At 55.5% G+C, this 23,288-nt stretch overlaps 1 protein-coding gene and 1 long non-coding RNA gene across 3 annotated transcripts in view, besides 1 other annotated feature; one reads left to right on the top strand and one right to left on the bottom strand.

Annotated features, from left to right (window-relative positions):
• Positions 64-598, top strand: C16orf95-DT (C16orf95 divergent transcript). The gene is made up of 2 exons (NR_135180.1): positions 64-277; positions 412-598. It is a non-coding gene; the product is annotated as a C16orf95 divergent transcript (long non-coding RNA).
• The window catches only part of FBXO31 (F-box protein 31), a 65,135-nt gene continuing 51,388 nt past the window's right edge, over positions 9,542-23,288 (bottom strand). For both annotated transcript variants that reach the window (NM_001282683.2, NM_024735.5), the window contains 4 exons: positions 18,710-18,819; positions 17,859-18,012; positions 16,441-16,841; positions 9,542-14,065 (listed from right to left, as the gene is read on the bottom strand). In NM_001282683.2, the coding sequence (NP_001269612.1) occupies positions 13,843-14,065; positions 16,441-16,841; positions 17,859-18,012; positions 18,710-18,819 (888 nt within the window). In that variant the 3' untranslated portion in view covers positions 9,542-13,842. The remainder of the gene's footprint in view (positions 14,066-16,440; positions 16,842-17,858; positions 18,013-18,709; positions 18,820-23,288) is intronic.
• Positions 13,802-14,303: an enhancer, noted in NCBI's record as "H3K4me1 hESC enhancer chr16:87364853-87365354 (GRCh37/hg19 assembly coordinates)". NCBI's record gives its function as "activates a minimal SCP1, AML or CMV promoter by ChIP-STARR-seq in naive H9 embryonic stem cells {active_cell/tissue: H9 hESC(naive)}" and the evidence as "EXISTENCE:reporter gene assay evidence [ECO:0000049][PMID:30033119]".

Consider the following 23,288-nt stretch of genomic DNA (forward strand, 5'->3'; position numbering starts at 1 on the left):
GGCCTTCTAGGTATGTGACCTTAGCTGGCAGCTGATTGGTCCCTCACGAGAGACGCGGGGTCAGCGGCTCAGAGCGCGGCTGTGTGGGGCTGCGGGGCTCCCGCCATGCCCGCTGGGGTAGGTCCTGCGGACCCCGGCCACTGGAGCCACTCATCATTTCCGACGGATGGGCCGGAGGGGCCGCCGGCCGCCCCAGCCAGGGTCTCGGTAGCCTGCAAGGAGAGAAAGAGGTGGGAGCAGCCCGCGCGGGGCCCTGCGTCTTGCATAGGCGCTTCTGGTAAAATCACTCCTTTATCTCAGATAATGAGTTGGCGCTGGATCGCTGCGTCCTCAGGTGGGGCTCGAATCGTGACTTTTAGAGAAATAGGTTTTCTTTCTTTTTTTTTTTTTTTAACAACATGGGGTTTAAAGGGCGCGGAATTGGAAGCAGTCGTCACCCGGAGGCCTGGGCGTGCAAGCACCGAAGCTCTGGCTGGCCCTGAGCCTCCCCACCCCACCCGCTCTTTTCGCTGGAACGCGTGTACTTTGGGCAGTTGCTGACGTGGAGACAGGACGTATGTCTTCATATTTTAGTAAAACCCAATGCCCTCTGCCTCTCTGATTATGTTCTTTAAGTTATCGCCAGTTCCAATTTGTATTTCTTGGAAACGGTTGGGTCTTCCCTCACTTTTCAGTATTTTCATGTAGACTCAAATACTCTGGATTAATATTTGTATTTGCCCAAACCATCACGAGCACCTCTTACCCTGATGGGCAATACTTCAGTGTGCTGCGTTCTGGCCACAGAGCAAACAGGGTGCTCCCAGGCACTGCCCTCTCGGATTTCTTGCCTTGTTATTTAATCATTAAGATCGTGACCTATGAGCAGGACTGTTTCCAGCCAGCACATACACATGTCCTCTCCTGGCCAGCATCCATGCTGATTAGACGGTGCCCCTGCCATACTAGCTGCCTAATATTTCAGATACCCCACCCCGTGTGTGTGTGTAAATCATGTCACTGCCCTCTTTGTAGCTAATGACAAAATTCCAAGAGTCACCATTAGCCTAGCACATTATGCCTGTCTCATTTCTGCCCACTTTGGAGCACTCGGCTTCTCTGCTGTTTTCCTCCAGAGCACACTGAAACACTGCCATAGCACAGCAGGGCATAGAAGACAGGCTCATGCTCCCCTGGACGCTCAGGCCTTCACCTCGGGCACACTAGGTCTTGTCATTCCATGTCAAGAATAGCTCTTCACTGCCCTCACCCACCCAAGAATGGCTAAAATTAAAAGGACTGACAATACCTAGTTTGTCGAGGATGTCACAGCTGGAACCCTCATACATGGCTCATGAAATTGATAAAACCACATTGGCAAACTGGTAGTATTTACAAAACCTAAACATATGAATACCTGATGACCAACTAATTCCTCAACTCACCCAAGAGAAATGAGAGCTTATGTGTACCAGAAGACATGAACAAAACTACCCACAGCAGCTTTCTTCCTGATGGCCCCAAACTGGAAATGATCCAGATGTCCATCCATAGGAAAAAAAGATTTTAAAAAGAAAGTATGGCATGTTCACAGAGAGGAAATTCTGTACAACAATGGAAATGGGCACACAACCACAACCCACAACAATGTGGATGAAGTGTACAATGAAGTCAGACCCCAGAATGTACAGACAATTCCATGTGTGTGATGTTCAAAACCAGGAAAGCAAATCCATCATGACACAGGCTGGGGATGTGAAGGAAACTCCAGCCACCCTGCCCCTGTGCTCTGAGTAACAAGGCCTAGATCCCAATCCTTGCTCTGCCTCTTATCAGAGACAGGTATCAGACAAGTTGCCTAACTTTTCTGAGCTTCAGTTTTATGTCTAAAATAATGATAACCATAGAACCAATCCCAAGGAAGTTTCAGAAGATCAAATATGAAAGAGCATGAAAGGTGCTCAAAAACCAGGGACTGTCATGGTAGCTCACATCTGTAATCCCAGCACTTTGGGAGGCCAAGGTGGGAAGATCTCTTGAGCCCAGGAGTTTGAGACCAGCCTTGGCAACGTAGTGAGACCTCATCTCTGCAAAAAATTTAAAAATTAGGCATGGTGGCACATGCCTGTGGTCCCAGCTACTTGGGAGTTTGAGGTGGGAGGATCACTTAAGCCCAGGGGGTTGAGGATGTAATGAGCCATGATTCCATCCAGCCCGGGTGACAGGGCCAGACCCTGTCTCAAGGAAAAAAAAAAAAAAAGCCAGACAGAGTCCAGCACACGTCAGTTTGTGACGTGAGTGTGCTTCAGGCTGGAAGTTTGGCCACTACCACTGCCTGTTTTAGGCTTTTGTTTCCAAAGCCCCCAAGTAGAGGGAAAGAGGAGCAGAATGAGATCTTTGTGAACCCAAGGTAATGGGTACCCAAGCCAAACCCACAGAACCTCCTTGATCCCAGGGAGAGAGTTGCAGGTTCCTCCCAGATCACACCTCCCCAGGCAGCCTATACCCAGACAGAAGCAGGGTTCCTGGGCACAGTTGTGTGGTTTCTTCACTAATCAAGGGTCCCTTGCCAAGAACACAAGTGAGGCTTGCATTTATCCTGTGCTCAGCTAACCAAGTCATGCACCCCAGCCTGGGCCTTAGCCTGCTCCAAAGCAGCGCCATATGTGAACTTACACAGGAGCACCCTGGGCTAGTGGTGGCCCTGCAGAGAGGCCTGACACCTGAGCAGCAGAAGCTACCACCAGACCAGAGGGGACCATCAACCTGGCTAGACAGGGCAGAGAAGCAGTGGGCCACTGAGGCAAACAGCCTCACTTTCACCTGCTAATGGCTCCTTCCAACTGCGAGAGTTGCTTGACCCATGTGTGGGGACAGCCATCAGCAGTGACAGGGTGGGGTGAATGTTCCAGCCACTCCACTCTGCAGTCAGGACAACTTCAGGACATGTTCTGCACTGGCTCCTGGCATCCCCCGCAGGATGGCTCCAGCCGCCTGTGTCCTGACCTTCTTGGTCATGCCTGTAGTTCCGCCTCCTGTTGTTCGAGGCCATCCTGACTAACACGGTGAAACCCCGTCTCTACTGAAAATACAAAAAATTAGCCGGGCATGGTGGTGCATGCCTGTAGTCCCAGCTACTGGGGAGGCTGAGGCAGGAGAATCACTTGAACCCGGGAGGCAGAGGTTGCAGTGGGCTGAGATCAGGCCACTGCATTCCAGCCTGGGCAACAGAGCGAGACCCCGTCTCAAAAAAAGAACACTGAGTACACCGTAAGGGATGGCGAGGATGTGGCACAGGGGGACTCCTTCATCCGCTCTGGAAAATGTGGCAGTTTCTCCTCTGATGCAACATGTGCTTAACATGTGACACAGCAGTCCCACTTTTAGGTATTTAAAGGAATGAAAACTTATGTCCACACAAAAAATCACACAGATGTTTATAGTGATTTTATTGATAAAGTGTCCAACTGGAAACTGCAAGTATTCTTTCTGGGGACACAGATACATTGTGGTGCCTCCACCCTGTGAATCCTGCTCAGCAATCCGAGGGATGAGCGGTTGATTCAGGCAACACCGCGGATGGATCTCAGGGCATCGTGCTGAAGTCCCACATTCTAGCAAGGTGCTGCTTCCTGCAGATGGGCAAACACTGGTCCTTGGCAGGTAGGGGGAAACACATCTTGCCTTTTTTTGGAGACAGGGTGTCCCACTGTCACCCAGGCTGGAGTGCAGGGGTGTGATAGTGGCTCACTGCAGCCTCAACCTCCTGGGCTCAAGCAATCCTCCTGCCTCCTCCTGAGTAGCTGGAACTGTCTTCCTCTCTTGAAGTAGGAAGCACAGGTATACACACAGTACACAAACAGTATGTCTGTGGTGGTAGAATTTCACGAGGGTATTGGAAAAACGTCTGATGAGGCTCCTTGGAGGAGCAATAATTGTGCATTATTAGAGGAGCAATAATGCACAAAGGCTGAGCCGCACCCTGCCAAAGGAGAAAGGCAGACAGACTCCCTGCTGGGAGAGCCCACTCCCCAGACGTTCTGGTTGAGGCTGAACTACGGGGTGGAGAGCAGATCAGGGGCGCCAGGGGCTGGAGATCTGGGGAGGCAGAGACTGCAGCGTCAGCATGAAGGGATTTTGATGGGGGCTGGAGCACTCCATGTCCTGATGGTGCTTATTTACAACCATCTGTCATCTCAGAACTGCACACACGGTAAAATTTCACTATAAATAGCTTACACCTCAAAAACCTAACCAAACCCTTTTTATTTTTTTTAATTTCTTTTTTTTCGGGGCGGGGGGTGGGGGAATGGAATCTCTCATTATCGCCCAGACCGGAGTGCAGTGGTGCGATCTCTACTCACTGCAACCTCTGCTTCCCGGATTCAAGTGATCCTCCTGCCTCAGCCTCCCACGTAGCTGGGATAACAGGCACCCCCCATCACCACCACCACCACACCCAGCTATTTATCTTTTTGAGACAACGTCTCATTTTGTCGCGCAGGCTGGAGTGCAGTGGCACAATCTCGGCTGACTGCAACCTCTGCCTCTCAGGTTTAAGCAATTCTCCCACCTCAGTCTCCCGAGTAGCTGGGATTACAGGCGTGCACCACCACACTCGGCTAATTTTTGTATTTTTTGGTAGAGACAGAGCTTCACCATGTTGGCCAGGCTGGTCTTAAACTCCTGACCTCAAGTGATCCCCCTGCCTCGGCCTCCCAAAATGCTGGGATTACAGGGGTGAGGCACTGCTCCAGCCCAAATGCTTTTTAAAAGGAAGGAAAAAGAAGGACAGCTCAACCCTTTCTCACTAAAGGGCAAAGGACTGCTAGCTGGGCATGTAAAAGTGTGCATTTTCCTGAAGTGTGTTCTCTGGAATCCTCTTCCCCAGAGATGTTGAAACGGAGGTGCTTTGTTTAGTGCAGTGGCGGCAGATGACAGCCACAGGACAGCTGCTCTGGGGGCCTTGGAAACTACAAATGCTCAAACCCCCTCCCCAGGCCACATCTCAGCGTGCGGGAACTGGGGTGTGCATCTCTCCCAACAGCTTCCTGGTGACGCCAAGCTTCACACCCACCCAATCCATGGGAGCAAACCGACTGGACTGCATGGCAGACGGTGGCCCACTGGCCATTGCCTCTTTGCTTTGCTCAGGAACTGGGTGGAATGTGCCCGGGGAAGGTAGCCCCAGAACTGCAGGGGAGCCACGACAGACTCAAGCCTCACGGAAACCCCTTTCCCTGGGCCAGAGTTGGTTCCTGGGTGGCGTGGGGCTGGCTCTGGCCAGTGAGGAGTCAGCCCCTGCTGAGGTTTCTGGGAATTATGTGTCTCCCAGGAGGAGAGGAAGACAGCTGAGGACACAGCATCTCACTAGCCCCTCCTCACCCACCAGGTGCCAGGCCAGGTGTCACCTGAGCCAAGCAGCACACGACCGCCCCTGCCCACTTCCACCTCAGCCCTGACCCTCCCTGCACCTGGGAGTCCACCGCCTCCTGATGTGTCTGTGATCGGGGCAGCCCCAAGAGCACGTATCCCGGGACATGATGTGTTGTGGTCTGTGTGGGGTCAGAGCCGTCAGTGTTCACTGCCGCGTGCCCAGTGCTTAGCACTGTTTGCCGCATGGGAGATGCAGGTCACAACCCGGTAGCGCCTAGTGGCCCGGGGGACACCTGGCTTGTCTGGGCCTGTTGGCTGACAGGTAGGAGGGACTGCCATCCATTGTTGGGGCAAAGGATGCTGCTCAACCTCCCACAACGCATGGAGCGGCCCGGCGCACGACTCACCCGGCCCCAAACACCAACTGTGCCGAGGTGATGCCCTGCCCTGAGGCGAGCGTACAAGGCTTGAGCGTCGAGAACACTGCAAGGGTCTCAGCCAGTGAGGGGCTGCCTGGGCCCCGCCGCAGGCCTGACTCCTAGAGCCAAGCCGTTTTCTCCCTTCAGGCAGTGGGTAGGGCTCTCACATGACGACCCTGGGTTTGCAGCTCGGCTGTGCACACAGGTGGACCCTCCGTGCTTTGTCAGTTCCTACTGCTTGGCCCTGGGGCCGGAAGCTGCTTCTCAGGCCTCACTCTGAGAAGCATCTTCACAACCTGGGTAGGTCCATTGCCTCTTTCCACCGACTCTGCTCCTTGACAAGGGCATGTTCATCAGCAGAGCCAGGCAGGGAGAGCTCAGGACAGCCAGACCTGGGGCCAGTGGCATAGGTACGTGTGGGAAGGGGCACCAGGTGCCTGTCCTCCCTGCGGGCAGAGCCGTCTGTCCTCTGCAGACCTGCAGTTTCTGTAAACATCCTGTAAGGAGCCAGGAAGCAGCAACTCCAGATGCCCAGAGGAGCCCCAGCCAAGGCAGATGCAGCCAGGGCATCAGGCCGTGGGGCTGGGCAAGGTGAGCCACAGGCTGGAAAGGCAGGGGCGCACGGCAGATGGGGATGCGGAAGCCAGATGCTGACCCAGCTCTACCCACATTTGTGAGGGGCATGGGGGCTGCGCCGTCAGAGGCCTTAGCTGGCTCCGGGCTTGAAATGTGAGTCCCAAGAGCCCAAGTTTTATTCCCACGTGGCCGCAGCATGCCAGGCTTAGCCTCCCTGTGTTTCTGTAAAACAGCACCCTCGTGTTTTTATATGAGAACCGAATTCAAGGTACTAGAAGTCCTCATATGGGAAGGGAAAAGTCGTGGTTTTATAAGCAATACACTCTGGCTGAGCCCAAGTTAAGATTTCCAGTCCAAGTTCATCAGCGCCTAGCTTCAGCCGGGACTGCTCTGGCCCCACTGCTGTGTGAGCTGGCGCTTCTGATTCCACCCCACACTCGGTGAAAGGGTCCCAGAGCAACTGACACTGAGCGTCACCGGCGGCGGCTCTTCCTAGAGGAGCATGTTCAGGAGAGGTGAGGCTGCGGGGCTGGGGCCCTGGGCTAATACTCCCTGGCTGTGTGACCCTGGGCAAATTACTCAGCCTCTCTGAGCTGCTGCTTCCTCTCCTGTGGAGTGGGCTGATCCCAGCCACACCAGCACTCCTGGTTGTTCCGTGGTTAATGTCTGCCAAACACGGTGCCATGGAGAACACCCAGCAGAGCCCAGCTGCTTGTTTGCTGGGGAGGGACAGCGCTGCAGGGGCGCCTCCCCCTGGCCCTCCAGCACCTTTCCACCTTGCTTCCAGGACCTCCGCGGCTCAGAGGCAGTGCAGGTGGGCTTCAGGGACGGCAGGGAGGGCCCACGCCGGCACACAAGGAAGAAGGGAAGGCGCCAGGGATCGCACCCCTCAGGAAGAAGAGGGACGGAGGCAAAGATAGGAAGGACACGCATTGTGCCTTCTGTCACTTGGGGATTTTCAAGTCAAAATGGGGAGGGGGCCGGGGTAGGTTTGGAAACTATCCAAATGGCATTTTGTTTCACATTGCTGGCTGGGGGCAAGCCCTCTGCAGTGACCCTACATGCCCACTAGAGGTCACACCACAAAAGGGGACCTCCCCTAAGGAGGGGGGACAAACGGAGGACCCTGGGCACCGTGCCTCCTGCAAGGGGAGGAAGGATGAAGCCCCGCCATCCATCGGGTGGGGAAAGCGCCATGCCTCCGGCAGCACAGCCAAGCGGCCCCCACAGGGAGGAGTGAGCTCCATATGGGCCCAGGTGACCCGGCCACAACACCCTCTCGGCCTCCGCCTCACCTGCTGGTGTTGGGCATGGCCAGCCTGGGCAGCCACCAGCCCTCGCTGCCCATCTGCTGTCCCCTCAACCCCAGCAGCAGACAGAAAAGTGCAGGGTCTGAGCCCCCGGGGGGATGCTGGTGTCGGACAGATCCCTGGAGAACAAAGCCTGTGCCCTTGTGTCTAGGTGAGGCTGCGGCACCCAGGCCCGGAGCAGGTCCCCCCAGCTGGGCCATCCCCACTCTTGGAGCAAGAGGGGAACTGCAGCAGGAAGCAGCCTTCTACTCGTTCCCCATGACCTTATTTTTTTTTTCATTTTAAAATAAAATATGTAAGAGAAACATATGAAAGACGCCACATTTAGTCCCTTATCAGATCCACACTTCCCCCTGTGACCTGGGAAATCGGGGTGCGTCTCCAGTCTGTGGGGGGCAGGGTCTCGTCCAGACAGGAGGCTGCATGGTGCTGCTTGTAGCAAGTGACTCGTTTGTGGTTGGCACGCCCAGTGCAGCTGAGGATGACCCCGTGGCTTGGCCCCAGGACAGGACCCAGGCCCCACAGAAAGGCCTGGAAACAGCAGCAAACCTTAGAGAAGGAAACACCCACCACCGGGGACCCACGATCCCCTGCTCTCCCCGGAGAAGGAAACACCCACCGCCGGGGACCCACGATCCCCTGCTCTCCCTGGAGGGCACCCAGGAAGCAGCCGCAGCTGGCAGGCTATGTGGCAACCCCGAGACCAGCGGAGATGGCAGTGGGTGGGCCTGCAGGTCACTGCCCCTGGGCACTGTGTCCTGTCTGAGGGGCTTGTTTCTGAACCACACAGAAAAGAGGGGGGGTCTCGTAATCCACGGTATCAGGATCAACAGGTGAACAGATGCTAGTTCTGCCATGCGATCCTTACTTTTTAAAGCAAAACAGTTGAAGTTCTACCCTCCGACACCCCTAGAAGTGACCACACCATTCCCACGCGTATCTTCAGCTTTTCCCCACACATGAATTGATAAAAATTAAGTATTTGCATTTTTACATGTTACACCAATACCATCTCTCACTTGTTTTGCAACGGAACAAGGCTGTGTGCCCGTCTGCCAGGTGACAGCATGGGTGGCTCCACCGTAGTCCACCTGCCTCCTTCCGGCCTGTGACAGTTGTCACAGTGTAGCAATGAACATCCCTGCGTGGCCCATGCCTGGGCTCTCGCGTTGCCCGAGGGTGGACACCTCAGGATGCAGATGCCAGTCCCTGGGCCCGTGTCCTTAGTGCCATGAGCTAGTACCAGCTGTCCCCAAAACAGCTGCCCCACCTGCGTTCCTGTTCCCCTGCATCACTGCCAACACTTGGAAAATCACACTTGCCAATTTCTGCCAATCGAGGGTGTACTTTGAGTGCATTACCATGGAAAACATCCTGTTTCTACAATTCCAAGCTAACAGCATTAATTAGCAGCAGTGACTCACGGGGAGGCTGGGATGAGAACAGGGGGTACTTTCACTGTCTATGCTAAAGAACTGTTTACAAGAACATATGAGTTTAGTAAACACAAAAGAAAGATCAATGAGATCCTCAGTTCATCTGCCTGGCTCTCAGCACATTCCCTCCCATATCTGTCCTCGTTGCAGATAATGCAACTCACTTTGGCTTAAATCTAAGAAAATCTACTGGGGCCCGAACTCCTCTGGGTCCCTGGGTAGGGACTCGAGACACCTCTGATGCCAGGTCAAAGGGAAGGACACAGGGACAACCACTGTCTGGGCTCCAAGGCATCCCTTCAATGCTCCCTTCTGTCAACGCGGGAAATCTGACACTTCCTCAAGAAGCTGGGAAGTCTGGGTTCCCAGGCCGACAGCTCGCATGGCTTAAGGCTCTCGCCTCCGTCCAACTCATATTCCCAAAGAAATCACAAAACACACAACAAGCCTTCAAAAACGGATTTACTTGAAACTGTGAGGAGAAACAAGTGCACGGGTGCAGGTGGCGGCTGCCAGGATTGCTCCGGTCCTACCTAGTGGGTGCCTACCCAGGCAGGGCACAGCTCCTGCTGCAAGGTCACCTTACCAGGGGGTGCAGAGGTGCTCATGATCAGATGGCACAGCGCTTTCCTAATGCAGGCAGGCTACATGGCCCCCAGAAACAACCAAATGCAGAATCAGGCCAAAACCCACACAGCCCTGACCCCCTCGTGCTCTGGCTGGTCTCCCGGTCAGCAGCCCCTGAGGGCCGGCAGGCAGGCCACTGAGCTGTGGGTGACACAGGGTAGTCCACGGTTTGCACAGTCTCATTCCCATTCAAAGACAGGCCCCAAGGCTGGGGCGCAGGGGCTCACGCCTGTAATCCCAGCACTTTGGGAGGCCGAGGCGGGTGGATCACCTGAGATCGGGAGTTCGAGACCAACCTGAGCAACATGGCAAAACTCCATCTCTACAAAAACAAGTTAGCCAAGCATGGTGGTGGTGGGTGCCTGTGGTCCCAGCTACTTGGGAGGCTAAGGCGGGCAGACAGCTTGAGCCTAGTAGGTTGAGGCCTCAGGGAGCCATGATCGCCGCTCTGCACTCCAGCCCAGGTGACAGAGCAAGACCCTGTCTCAAAAAACAACAAAAAAAGTACCAGCCGCATGGAGACTATCTGCTGCTTGCATCTTCTCTAAATAATTACGGGGATGAGGAGTCCAGTGATGTTCCTGGTCTCTCCCCAGAAGTACAGACAGGTTGGGCCACGTTAACACTGGACTTGATCATGATTCCAGGAGTTTTATTCTCAGGACAGGTGATGGTTCTATGAGCACATTCCCGTAAGTGTTCTTAAAAGTTACACCACGAAGGCAGCAACCAGAATAGAAACATCCTAAAAGAGCCTAGCTGCTTTCTGCAGCACCTTGGACGGTGGACCACAGCTCAGCATCTCCTGTTCGCACCCAAGACCCCACGGCCATGAGGACAACACGAGCTCAGAAGATGCATGTGGGCAGGCGTTCTGAAGTAACAAAGGGGCTGAGGAGTTTCTGCTGCTGTCCGTGACTGCCCACGAGCACTGAAAATGGCCTAACCGTGTGCAGGTGAGAAAGCCTGGGGGTGAACACGCCCTGAGGAGTCAGGGAAGCCAGAGCCAGCGGCTGAAGGGCCCTTGCGTGCGGCTGCAGCACAACTGCAGGTTCTCAGAGAAAAATCTCCAGCTCAGACCCGGTTCTGCACAAAGCTCAGAATGGAGCGGCCAGCAGGGCATGTGGCTAGAGGAAGGACATGGCCACCCACCCCTCCCTCCTCGTGTGCCAGGTGGGCTTGCTAGGGGCACAGGTGCCCAGTGTCAGGGCAGGGATGCCACAGAGCCGCAGGCAGACTGAAGGGGCCCAGGGCATGGTCAGGAACGAAGAAGGAGGGAGCCTGAGGCTCTCCCACCACCAGGCCTGCAAAGCCACTCACACTCAGCAGTGGACACTTGAGGTCACGGCCCAGGTGGGCTGAGGGACCCCAATACCACCTGCCTTGAATCTCAGCCTGCAGAAGTCGTTTGCAACTTCCTCATGCAAATGAACATTCAGTGCCGGCACAGAAAAGCCTCCAATGACCTCTCTGAAATCTTCAATCACATCATTTCCAAACAAGTGACAAAGAACACGTTCAGGTGTGCAGAGCTGCACTGCAGGCAGCCCCACTCCAGAGAGCAGACTTGATCCTGCCCCAGAGTGAGACAGCGACAGAAAGGCATCCGTGGTGCAAAAGATGGAGAGTCCCAACCTCCCAACTCCACCTGCCACCTTCCCCAATCAAGCCTAATGCGCTTGGCTGTCCTGAACTGGGTTACTCAGCCTCCTCCTTGGAAACGGTTTTATCCAACTCTCAGCTGCCCTTAGGCCTCTGATGACGACATCAGCCCTTCCGAGTTCTCACCTGCAGGAAATGGGCCACCTGCAGGATCCCCTGAGAGGGTGGATGCCCTCCCCCGGAAGGGAAGCTGCTGTTTTGAGGCGCGCAGATTCAGTGCCTGTCCCTACAGAACCGGAGCCAAGAACTGGCTAAGGACACATCGGAGCGGAAAAAACAAGACCTGTAGTCACGACTGAAGGGACTGGCTGTGCGGCCAAAAAGGCCTCCCTTTCCTGGCTGTGTGGCTCTGGCCCTGCCTGGCATCACTGCAGGTCACCACCATGGAGAGACCCCCGCCCCCAACATACACACCAGAACCAGGAGCCACATGAACTGACCAACAGCCCATGGCTGAGACATGATGGGTGGAAGCTATTTCTATACCCAAACACTGGAAGCGTAATTGAGATCTGAGATTCCTTTAATCAGAAGCACGTGCGTCCCACAGTGTGCTCTTCAAGCCCCAAAGGGCACGCCTCTAGGACTGCGTCCCTTAGAGCGAGGCTCGGGCTCTTGGTAAAAAAGCATTTGCTTGATTTTATTTAAACAATGGTGAATCTTCAAGGTGCCAGTCTACATGCCCAACAGTCCTCCAGGCTTCAAGGCCACAGTCACCGTCACTCAGAGACTGCCTCATTTGGCAAGAGAGAAAAACAGTGACCACCACAGAGGGCAGGGAGTGACAAAGCTTGTAGGCTAATGCTGCAAAAGCCGCTAGAAACTGGGGCCACACACAAGAGCCAGCAGGTGCGCCTCGGGGTCTGCGTGGCTCCCGCTGCTGCCGCCCTGGAAGGGCGCTTTCTCCACTGGCTTTTCTCGTGAGTCTTTCTCCCAGGCCGGCCAGATTACCATTTAGGAACCTTTGCCAATTCTCTGACTCTGGGAAGCAAAGTAAGCATTTGCCAAATGCACTGAGGCTGGGCAATGGGAATTCTTATGTTCTTTAAAGGCCAGTCAAGGAGAAATTCATCAGGAAAACATTTCCCAGGACATCCTCAGGTTGGTCTCCACACCAAGGCACACAGACTGTCACCTTCCCGAGGTCCCTCACCAGCAGGACGTGTCCAGGGTGCCCAGCACAAGGACTTGGAGCAGCCCAGACACAAGGACAAGCGGCAGAGAGGGAAGGCTCGCTGGGGACGCCCACTCGGGCACGGAGCTGGCTGTGGGCTGGGGGAAGGGCCAGCTCTGGACACCGTGCTCTCTGTTCTTCAGGAGATGCCAACCTCAGCCAAGACCTCAGATGGGGTCCCCACACGCAGGTGTTAACACAACATGGGGCACACAGCAGTGGAGGCATCAGTCCATGGGGTCTCCAGGCTGGAGGGTCCCACTTTCCAAAGTGTGTCCCCAGATGCAGGTGTGGCTTTTCTAGAAAGCTGTCCCCTCACCTGCAAAGGGGTTTCCTCGTCATCTCATATGGGCACTCCTGGCACCTGTGTGGACCACTCACTGCTTCAGACACACGGGCCTGGAGCCTTGCGTTCTGGAGACAGTGGCCGGCAGCTTGGTTTTGACGCCGTGTGCGTGCAGGGAGGAAGGCATGGACAAAACAAACGCCCTGTCTGGAACAGGCCGTCGAGGACAGTCAAGTGGCTGGAACGATGGCCTTGGCTCCAAAGCTGGAGGGGCTGGGGCAGGTGCATGGGCTGGGCTGTGCATTCAGGTGACATTCCCTAGTGACTCAGGTCACTAAACCCACTCCACAGGTGGGGAAGCTGAGATCAGAGGTGAAATGCTTCTGTCCAAACTCCAAGCAAGCCGGTAGAGAAATGGGGATTCACTCCAGAGTCCCGGCCCCAAGCCTGAGATCCTACCAACTTCCCGAGCTTGCTCTGCGTACTGTGCCCATCACACCTGCGCTGCCTGAGCTGTTCGCCTCTTCCTGACCCCCTCCCAGAGGCCACTGTTGCCTGGCTTCCCCCAAAAGGAGTGGGGTGGAGCACATGCGTCTCACACACGACCCAGTCTATCACTCTATCCGCTCACAGGAAGAGCACCAGTCAGGAGGGTCCTGCTTCCCGAGAAAACCACCAGCCAGCCCAGGGTGCGGGAACCCCACCGCTTCAATTCTCACGCGGTCCCACGGCTGTCCCCTACATCTGCTGTATTCAGGCTCGTTCTCTCTGTTTTTGGTAAGACATGCTCAGCTTCTTCCATCATGGCACTGACAAATATGCAGGTCTATGTCACACTCTCTACATAAAGTGCTGGGGGGTGGCTGGACTGGGCCCCCCGACGAGGTGTGCGTTCTGGTCAAAAGGCCGGATTTCCAAAGTGCATGCTGCTTCTATTCACAGGTCAGAGTTCAGAGCCCCAGAGCCACCCGGGATGTGGCGGCAAGGATGTGGCCGGTCAGGAGGTGAGGGACTGAATGTTCTTGAGCATCTCATCGAAGGCCTGTGGGGACGGCGCATCTGCGTTCCGGAAGGTGGCCTGGACCCGGCTGTACAGGCTGAAGGATTTCAGCTCCAGCCAGACGAACCCGAAGCGGTCCTCATCGAAGAGGATGAAGACCCCGGGGGTGCGTTCAGGGCTGGTGAAGCCGTGGCCCGCGATGAGGCCTGTGCCATAAAAACTGAGCAGAAACAAGAGGGAAACTGTGAGCTGGGGGAGGGCTGAGTCAAATGCACGCCACGTACAGCATTCTGCGACCCCGCTCTGTGCCGCAAGAGCCACATCCACTGTTCATCAGCCAGAAGCTGACTCCCAGAGCCAGCCTGTCTCTGCAGGGGCAGCTGGGGGTGTGGGCTGAGCCTGTCTCTGAAGGGGTAGCTAAGGGCGCAGGCCGAGCCCACCTGATGATGGACGCAGAGGCCAGAGCTCGGGGCTGCTCGGGGGATGGGCGCTGACTCGCAGCACCCGTGAGGGATTCACCCACTGACTGCACAATGCTGAAACACTGAACTAAAACGAGGTCTCTGCAGGCCCAGAGAGCTCTGTTCCAAAACACACATTTCATAAAGGAGGCCCAATGTGAAAAAAAATCTTAATGTCTGGGAGTTATGTCCCCATACAATTAGCTCTAATACAGGCAGCCTGCAGCTGACATTAACTCAGAAGTCGCAAACACCCATTTATGGCTTTGAGGTCAACATCAGACAGGAAGACACTTATGTCTGTCTTGCAAGCAGCTAAATTCTTCCAACAGATGACGAGAAGTAAGGGGCTGGCCTGGAATCACCCACTGAGGCTCCAAAGGCCGGGGGAAAGAACAGCCCCGTGGACCAGGGCCTGGCCTCAGAGGGCTTCTCAAGCTCGGGGAGAAGTTCCAGGGCCCAGAGGCAGGTGCAGCCATCGGCACTGTGGTCAGAAAAAAAGCAACAGGCATTCCCTGTACAGGTGCCGTGGCCAGGCCCTGCAGATCCATAAACTAGACAGGGAAGGGCCCGGGAGCCCCCATATTCAGCACGTCAGGGACTGTCCTGCAGGTTAGCTGGGGACGGAGGCTGGACAGGTCTTCCTGGTCAGTGGCTGCAGCACGTGCTGTGACTCGCAAACTGGCTCTGAGCCCACTGTGAGGTATTAGGAGTTCTGAGATGTTTGAAGGGTAACAGAGCTTTTTCCTTTTTTAGCTATTCAAACATTTATATTAGCGAAAACAACACTCCAACACTATTTGTATGCCTCTCTCTGTAAACCCCCCAGTCACCGTTATCATACATGGAACATGAAGAAAGCCCCGCCCAGACATCCAAACCCCCTCCGGGAGCTGGAACTGTGGCACCCTTCCCCCCACCCAGACATCCAAACCCCCTCCGGGAGCTGGGCCTGTGGCACCCTTCCCCCCACCCAGACATCCAAACCCCCTCCAGGAGCTGGGCCTGTGGCACCCTTCCCTCCGTGACAGGAAGTTTAGCGGGAAATACAGACACATAGCAGCATACGCACATAGTGGCTTGGAGGTAAAAGGAAAATAACTGTAACTTGACAATGGCAGAATGACTTTGATGCCAGGAGACTGACAGGCGGACCCTCAAAACAGCCCCCAAGGCCACTGTCCAGCAGAACCCTCTGTGGTGATGGAATGTTCTAGAGCTGCACTGTCCACCAGCCACATGTGGCCATGGAGCACTTGAAACATGGCCTGGGCGGCTGAGGGCCTGGATTTTTCATATTCAGTTTCAGTTCATTTGAATTTAAACAGCTCTAAAGGGTAAGGACACGGGGCAGGGCCTTGTTCATCTATGAGGAGCAGCCTGAACGGCAAGGGGCCCGTGGCACTGAAGGCGGTGGCCCAGACAAAACTGTATAAAAAAAGTCAGCGAGACAGGAGCTGGCAGCTGTGCAAGCCTCGTCCCATGTCAGCCGCCCAAGCCCTGCAGTGGCAGCGGCAATGCCAGCCCCTCCCACGCAGTCGCAGCTGGTGTCCACTCCACTGGCCACCAAGGCACTGGCCCGGCACAGCAGAGGCAGGCAGGCACAGAGGAGGGAGGGGGCAGGAAAGCAGGACCCACATCTGAACCACGCACCGGGAGATGGCCAAAGGTGACCGGCAAGACGCTGTCCAGGAGGACACCAAACCAGACGGGCTTTCCACAGGGTGGGTGGGGAAGGGGCCTTGTTCATTCTCTACTTTCAAAGCTGCTGGACAGTTTACATGATATTTCACTTGATTGACTGCAAACAAGTAGCTTTAGAAGCCCCTGGGGGAGCGGCACTATTGCAGGGATGTGAGGCATCTGGAAGCCTCATGCCCCTGCAGCTCTGAGGTACCCCAGAAGGGGTGGAAGGACAGGAGCCTCCAAGACGGGACCCAGCTGCGCGGCCGCTTGCTCAGGTGCTGGGGAACATGGCCCAAGGGGTCAGAGGCCGCACTCCTGTCCCAAAGCACCGGCTGCCGCCCTCTGTGAGGTCACAGGCCCTCTCCGCCTGTGCTAGGTGTGGGGCTGGGGCCCTCGCTGAAGCCCATGCTGTCCCACCTTCAGGCCCCAGTACCCGCCGCATCCTTACCACATCCTGCAGGTTCGGGGGTAGTCCTCATTCCTGGAGCTCACGCCCACGGGCAGCACGAACGGCTGCCCCTGCCCACACTGGGCAGGCTGCTCGGCCGCAGCTACGGCATCCCCAGGCTCGCCACCATCCTCACCAGGTGTCCCATCTGGGCCCTTGCTGGGCGCCTCTGCCCTGGGCTGGGCAGGGCTTGGCTGGGACTCCCGGGGGCCCTGCCGGCCACGACCCTCGCCCGCCTCGTGCCCGCCTTCCTGCTGCTCCTGGCGCACCCTCTCGCGCACCTCCAGGACGATGCGGGAGAGCTCATTGAAGTTGCGCTGGTTCTCGAGGTCGGGCAGCTGGATCCGATGCCTCAGGTCGATCTCCACTGTCTGCTGCCCAGCGGGGATGTTGGGGTCGCCCTGTGGAGCAGGTGGCAGTCAGCAGGGCTCAGGCCAGCAGCAGCAGCAGTACCACTGTGTGGGCTCCAGCCCAGATCCACCTCTGGCTGAGCGAGCTGGCACCAGCCCTCCTACTGACTTAGCAACGTCCCTTACAGAAGAAGAAGTCTCAGAATCCCTTAGAAAGTGGCAGGGCCAGCAACACCTATGAGTGCCCCTGAGGACGGTGGCTCATACCTGCTCAACTGCGCCCAGAGAAGTTCAAAGAACATCCCAGAGCTGGGCAGCAGCCCAAGGGGGCAGCCCACATCTGTCTGCCTGAAAGGCAGAGCTCGGGAGCCGAGCCCTGGGAAGATGCGTCAGCCCCAAAACTCCGTGAGGAGTCCAGGAGCCAAAACTCTGGGGTCCAGGGAATGCCCCATTATGCCAGATGTGGCCCTGATCCCTGGAGGCTCGGGGAATAGGCTTCGCCCCTTCAGGCGCTGTCTGCCAGGATCCCCAATAACCATTCAGGGCAGGCGGGCAGCATGTGCCAGGAGCCCTGGCATGGGACAATGAGCCCCTGTTCACTGCTGGGCTCACCACACAGCCCACCCTCAGGCCACTCCAAGGAGAGGAGCTGCTGAAGCTCAGACAGGGTGGGAGCTGTCTGCAAGCACAAGGGTCTCCATGCAGCTGCTGGAGGGGCCCCTTTCCCAGGCTGTCCCCAGTTAAATCTGAGCCTCTGTGTGGGGTCTGCTGTCCAGACTTCCTAAACCCCACAGGGCTGCCAGGGTGGCCGGGGCTGAGCGGTGCTGTGGGAAGGCCACCTTGGAAGCACACAGACTCCCTGAGGGTCTCGTGGAAATGCAATTCTGGTTCAGTGGGGCTGGCTGGGGCCCGAGAATCTGCTTTCCCAAGCTCCCGGGGCTGCAGGTGCAAGCCCACTCTGAGGAGCAAGGGTGCCGGGGATCAGTGTCTGCCCAAGTTCCCTGACTCCACAGCCCACTTGGGCCAGGTGCCCCCAGAGCCCCACCAACCAGGTCAGCCGCCACTCACCGTGATCTTGGTGCCCCTGGCACGCCGGCCGTGGAAGCTGAGCATCACAATCTCCAGGCCGTGGCTGCCATAGGTACCTTTGAAGAGGCCAGGCTTGATGAGGTCGTCGGGGCGGCTGGGCGGCAGGTAGATGCGGCGGTAGGTCAGGCAGTTGCTGTGGGGAGCGGACGGGTCAGTACAGGAGACCTCGTGGGGCAGGCAGGACTGAGAACGCCCAAGGTGCCAGGGATGAGCTTTGCAGGGCGGGGTAGGGCGGGCAGCTCAGCTCAACCAGGGCCAGGTGTCCACCAGGCCTGTGGGCAGCAATGCGCCCAGGGGAGCCCTCACCCCCACCACCCACCAGCACGCACGCTTCCAACAGGACTTCTGGGGTTAAGGGGGGCATCAGCGCCAGGGCAGAGCTTTAGGTGGGAGGGAAAAGGAAGTGCCAGTTTGCTCCATTACCCAGGAGAAAGGAGCCCAAGTCACCATGGAGGGGATCCCCGCACTGGGCTGAGCGGGGCTGAGCTCTAGAGTGCCAGTGTTGGCAGGGGTGACAGGAAATCAGATAAAAACAGACACCCGGGTGAAGGATGGGGTCTGGGGCTGTGCCACAGCAGCTACAGGGAGGCCTGCACTCCCAGCACCCACAGAGAGAGGGGCTGTGTTCCAAGTACCCACAGAAAGAGCGAACTATGCTCCAAGCACCCAGAGAGAGAGGGGCTGTACTCCCAGCCCCCAGCAGGAGAGAGGGCTGAACCCCAGCACCCACTGAGACAAAGGACTATGCCCCAGCACCCACCGGGACAGGGCTGGTCCCCAGCACACACCAGGAGAGGGCTACCCCAGCACCGAGCAGGAGCCGCACTCACTCGTACTGACTGGTGTAGATGAACTTCATCAGGATGAGCTCCTGCATGTGCTCGTGGAAGATGTCCTCCAGCGTGCGCCCCCATTCCTCCCTCAGCCACGTCCGAAACTCCTTCCAAAAGAACACAGGTCATGAATATCCATATGACAGGAGGCTGTGAAGAGGCTGCCGGCTGTGCCGCTGAGAGGACACAGTGTGTCCTTCTTTGTCAGTGCACAGGCACCTGCAGGGCCCTCTTGGTGGGGGAGGATGGACTTGGCGCTGGGAAGAGAAAGGGGAGCTGCCGGATTTGACCCCACGTCAGAGGTGCCTGCCAACAAAAAGTGAAGGTTCCGGGCCCTTGGTCTGCTGGGTCGGAGGCAGCAGGGGCTACAGGGAGCCCAGGTGAGGCGGGGGCCACAGCCATGACCAGAACTCAGGGTGGGCCTCCCTTCCATGCCCACCGGTGGGGCAGGAACAGCATCTACACAGACTCTGGCCCTGCACAGCACAGCCCCTCAGCCTGCTTCTCTGGCTCCTGGGAGCCTGAGTGTTCCAGAAGCCCTCACCACCAACCCTGAGCCGTGCGAGTCAGCCAAGGACGATGCACTGAGCCCTCGGCCAGTGACTGGGTGGATTTTCCTTTTTCAAAGGAAAAGCAGGTATGTTAAGGCGGTTCCCAAAAACTCCGCAGCCCCACCAGTCCGCCCTGCATTCTGCCATCACATGGTGCTGAGGATATTTCGTGCTTAATGGTTTGATTCTACACAATTTACAGAATTCACCCAAACTTCCAAGTTCCCAGCTCAATACAGTGTTTCCAGTCATTATCTAGACCTAACTCTGAAAGGGACGCATAAGCAACTCACAAAAAAGAGGAAACACGATGGTCAATCGCTTTCATACATCACTGCTCCAAACTCCGACAAGAAACAGAAATCACTGCAGGAGCTGCACTGAGCACCTGGCAGGACCACATGGTCAACACAGAAGCCACCTGGATTTTTATGTCCTAGCAGCACAAAATATAAAAATAAAATTTAAAAAAATTCTATGTACAAAATCCTCAAAAAAACATAAGACTTGGGAATAAATGTTACAAAATACGTTTAAGATCTATTCTGAAAACCACTAACCACCGCTGAAAGGAAGTAAAAATGCCTGGGTACACAGAGATGCCACGTGTGGGGTCTGGGACCCATCTTGGCCTCATTCCAAGAGCACTTCTCTCCAGATTGATCTACAGATCCGACCTCACGCCAACCACAAGCCCACCAGGCACTACACAGACTGGACTCGCCAAGTCTGAAATTCCTACGGAAAAGCAAAGAACTGGGACAGACAGGCCATCAGGAAAACGAAGAGCAAACGGGAGGACCAGGCTGCTCTCAGGACTTGCCCAGTATAAGCTCCCGTCATGACACGGCGTGCAAGCCTCAGGCCTCACACGGGCACCAACAGAGCCAGGAGCCCAGAAACCCTCATGTGGACCCAGCTGCCTGATTGCAGCGGAGGTGCCCACACCTGCCCCTCAGGAAAGGAAGGTTTTCAGCAAGGTGCTCCGTCAGTTGGGTTTTCATATGGAGAAGAAGGAACCACGACCCCGCCTTATGCCACACACAAGATCATTCAAGATGGGGCACAGGCCTCCACACAAATGCAGAACCTGATGTGATGCTACCAAACTTCTATTAAAAAAAAAAAAAATGGAGCCTATCTTTGCAAACTGAGTATTTTAGGACTCAATTTTTAGGACTTTTTTAGGATTCAGAAAATAACCATAAAAGAAAACAAAAAGTTTCACAAATTGGACCTCATCAAAATTAAAACCTGAGTGGCTGAACTTGAGGAAAGGCTCTTTAAATAACAGATAGAAACAAAAGTAACTGAATGTAATGAACAAAGATTTCAATGTTACCGCTGTGAGTACTGCGACTTCAACTTGACACCATCAGGAAGATGAGCATGTGTAGCCATGACCTCGCTTTACATAAAGAGGTCCAAGCAACGGGACCACCAACCAGACCCTGTTACCCAGAATAAGGCCGTCCCAAGCATGTTTATTATGAAATTACTCATCAGAGCAACACATACAAGCCACAAGAAAAAAAAAAAAACAGGGAGCCCAGGACATGCACGACAACGATCAACTTCACGTTGACCCAGGGCCTGCTCACTCAACACATTGTACTCGCGACCCTCGTGGCAGCGCCGGCAGAGGGGGCTGAGGGTGACAAGGATGCCTGCTGGCTGCTTGAAACAGGAGCATGGCCCATCCTCCCTTCTCTGCTCCTTTCACAGGTCTGAGATTTCCAAAAGCCTCAGTCTTGGGGCGGGGGAGGCGGGCCTGAAACACACAGGGGTGGGAAGGGACATGGTGGCTTGCCCTGGCCCGGCACCCATACAGAAAAGGCCAGGTCTGGGTGGGCCCGAGCGTCCCATTTCTCACAAGGACCCACGGCTGAGGGAACCCACAACCCTGGGAACATCATCAGATCATGCCAGTGACGCAGCCTGGGTACAAGGAATGGCCTCCCGGGGTGGGGGTGACCCACACAGAGATGCAGGGATGCCAAAGAGACTGCATTGCCCTCGAAGCCTCCCCTGTCCAGAGCCTGGCCCCTCCAACCTCCCTGGGCAGACAGGACTCCACTCCCTTGGAACCTGCTTGATGTGGTTTGGCTGTGTCCCCACCCAAATCTCATCTTGAACTGTAGCTCTTCCAATTCCCATGTCATGGGAGGGACCCCAGGAGGTAACTGAATCATGGGGGTGGGGTCTTTTCCATGCTGCTCTCATGATAGTGAATAAGTCTCACGAGATGCAATGGTTTTATAAAGGGGAGTTCCCCTGCACAAGTTCTCTCTTTTTTTGCCTGCCGCCATGTAAGATGCGCCTTTCGCCTTCCACCATGATTTGAGGCCTCCCCAGCCACATGGAACTGTGAGTCCATGCAACCTCTTTCCCTTATAAATTACCCAGTCTTGGGTATGTCTTTATCAGCAGCGTGAAAATGGACTAATACAGTGCTGATCCAGAAGTTCTCAGCCAGCAGAGCTCAGGGCAGTACCGAATTCCTGTCCCTGATCTTTCACCTCAGTTGTGAAAATTATCAGGATGTGTCACCATGTCCAGACCTCCTGGGATGTCCTCTTCCTGGAATGCAGCTCTCCTGGTGACCTACCTGCTCTCTGGCCTTTAGTGGAGAGGAGCTCCCAGCTGATGCATGAATCCACAGACAGCCCCACCCTCTGAACCCCTACACGTCGTGAGAGAAAAGCAGCGAGGACACTGCAGGCCTCAAGATGAACGAAGTGACTGTGGGAGCAGGTGACAAGCCCCACAGGAGGGCGCAGCCAGTGCAGCCCCTGCAGAAGAGGAGAGGCTGCTCTCACTCGAGGATAGGTGGTACAGCACCGTCAGCAGCCCCAGCCTCTGCCCTACCTGGGACAGTGGCACCCTCACCCTGTCAACTCCCGGAGGGGGAGCTCAGAAGCGGGACGAGCCGAGGGAGTATGTCGGATGGGGGTGTGGACATCACACAAACGGCAGCACCCCATACACTGACCGTAAGCGTGCTGCTATTCCAATTGCAAGAAGAGACAGCAAGGGGATGTTTCTGGGAAATAGCTGCTTCTAGAGTTCACACAGCAAATAAACAAGATGAGCCGGGAACATTCCAAAATAGAAGAGGAATACAGGCAATTAAAATACAGTGATAGGCCAGTGCAATGGCTCACAGCTATAATCCCAACACTTTGGGAGGCTGAGGTAGGAGGATCACTTGAGCCCAGCCTGGGCAACACAGTGAGACCCTATCTCTAAGCCATAAATAAAATAAAACATAGCGATAAAACTACAAGAATTCGGCCGGGCGCGGTGGCTCGCGCCTGTAATCCCAGCACTTTGGGAGGCCGAGGTGGGCGGATCACCTGAGGTCAGGAGTTCGAGACCAACCTGGCCAACATGGGGAAAACCTGTCTCCGCTAAAAATATAAAAATTAGGCAGGCATGGTGGCAGGCGCCTGTAATACCAGCTACTTGGGAGTGAGGCTGAGGCAGGAGAATCACCTGAACCCAGGAGGCGGAGGTTGCAGTGAGCCAAGATCATACCACTGTACTCCAGTGTGGGGGACAGGGCGAGACTACATCTCAAAAACAAACAAAAACTATAAGAATGAGAATAGTGTGGTACTGACATGTGGACAGACATATGGATCAGAGTATCAAGTCCAGAAATGAACCAAGTATACAGGGTAACCTAGGACAAAAGCAGCGCTACAAATTGATGTAGGAAGTGTGGTTATCACGCATCCAGTGTGGAGATAACAGATCAGGTCTGCACAGAACCAAGGCTGGGGCTAAGCCTTACATTTCACATCAGAATAGATCCAACGGAACCAGACACAGACACAAGAGAAAAATAAAAGCATGAGCTCATTTGTAAACATATGTGCTTCAGGGAGAGATCTCAGGATGGCACTAAACTGAGAGTCTTTTAAAGAAAGATGGATACATCTGCTTATGTAAAAATTAAAAATACGGCTGGGCGTGGTGGCTCATGCCTGTAGCCCCAGCACTTTGGGAGGCCAAGGCGGTAA

The sequence above is a fragment of the Homo sapiens genome, chromosome 16 (assembly GCF_000001405.40).
Source record: "Homo sapiens chromosome 16, GRCh38.p14 Primary Assembly".
NCBI lineage: Eukaryota > Metazoa > Chordata > Mammalia > Primates > Hominidae > Homo > Homo sapiens.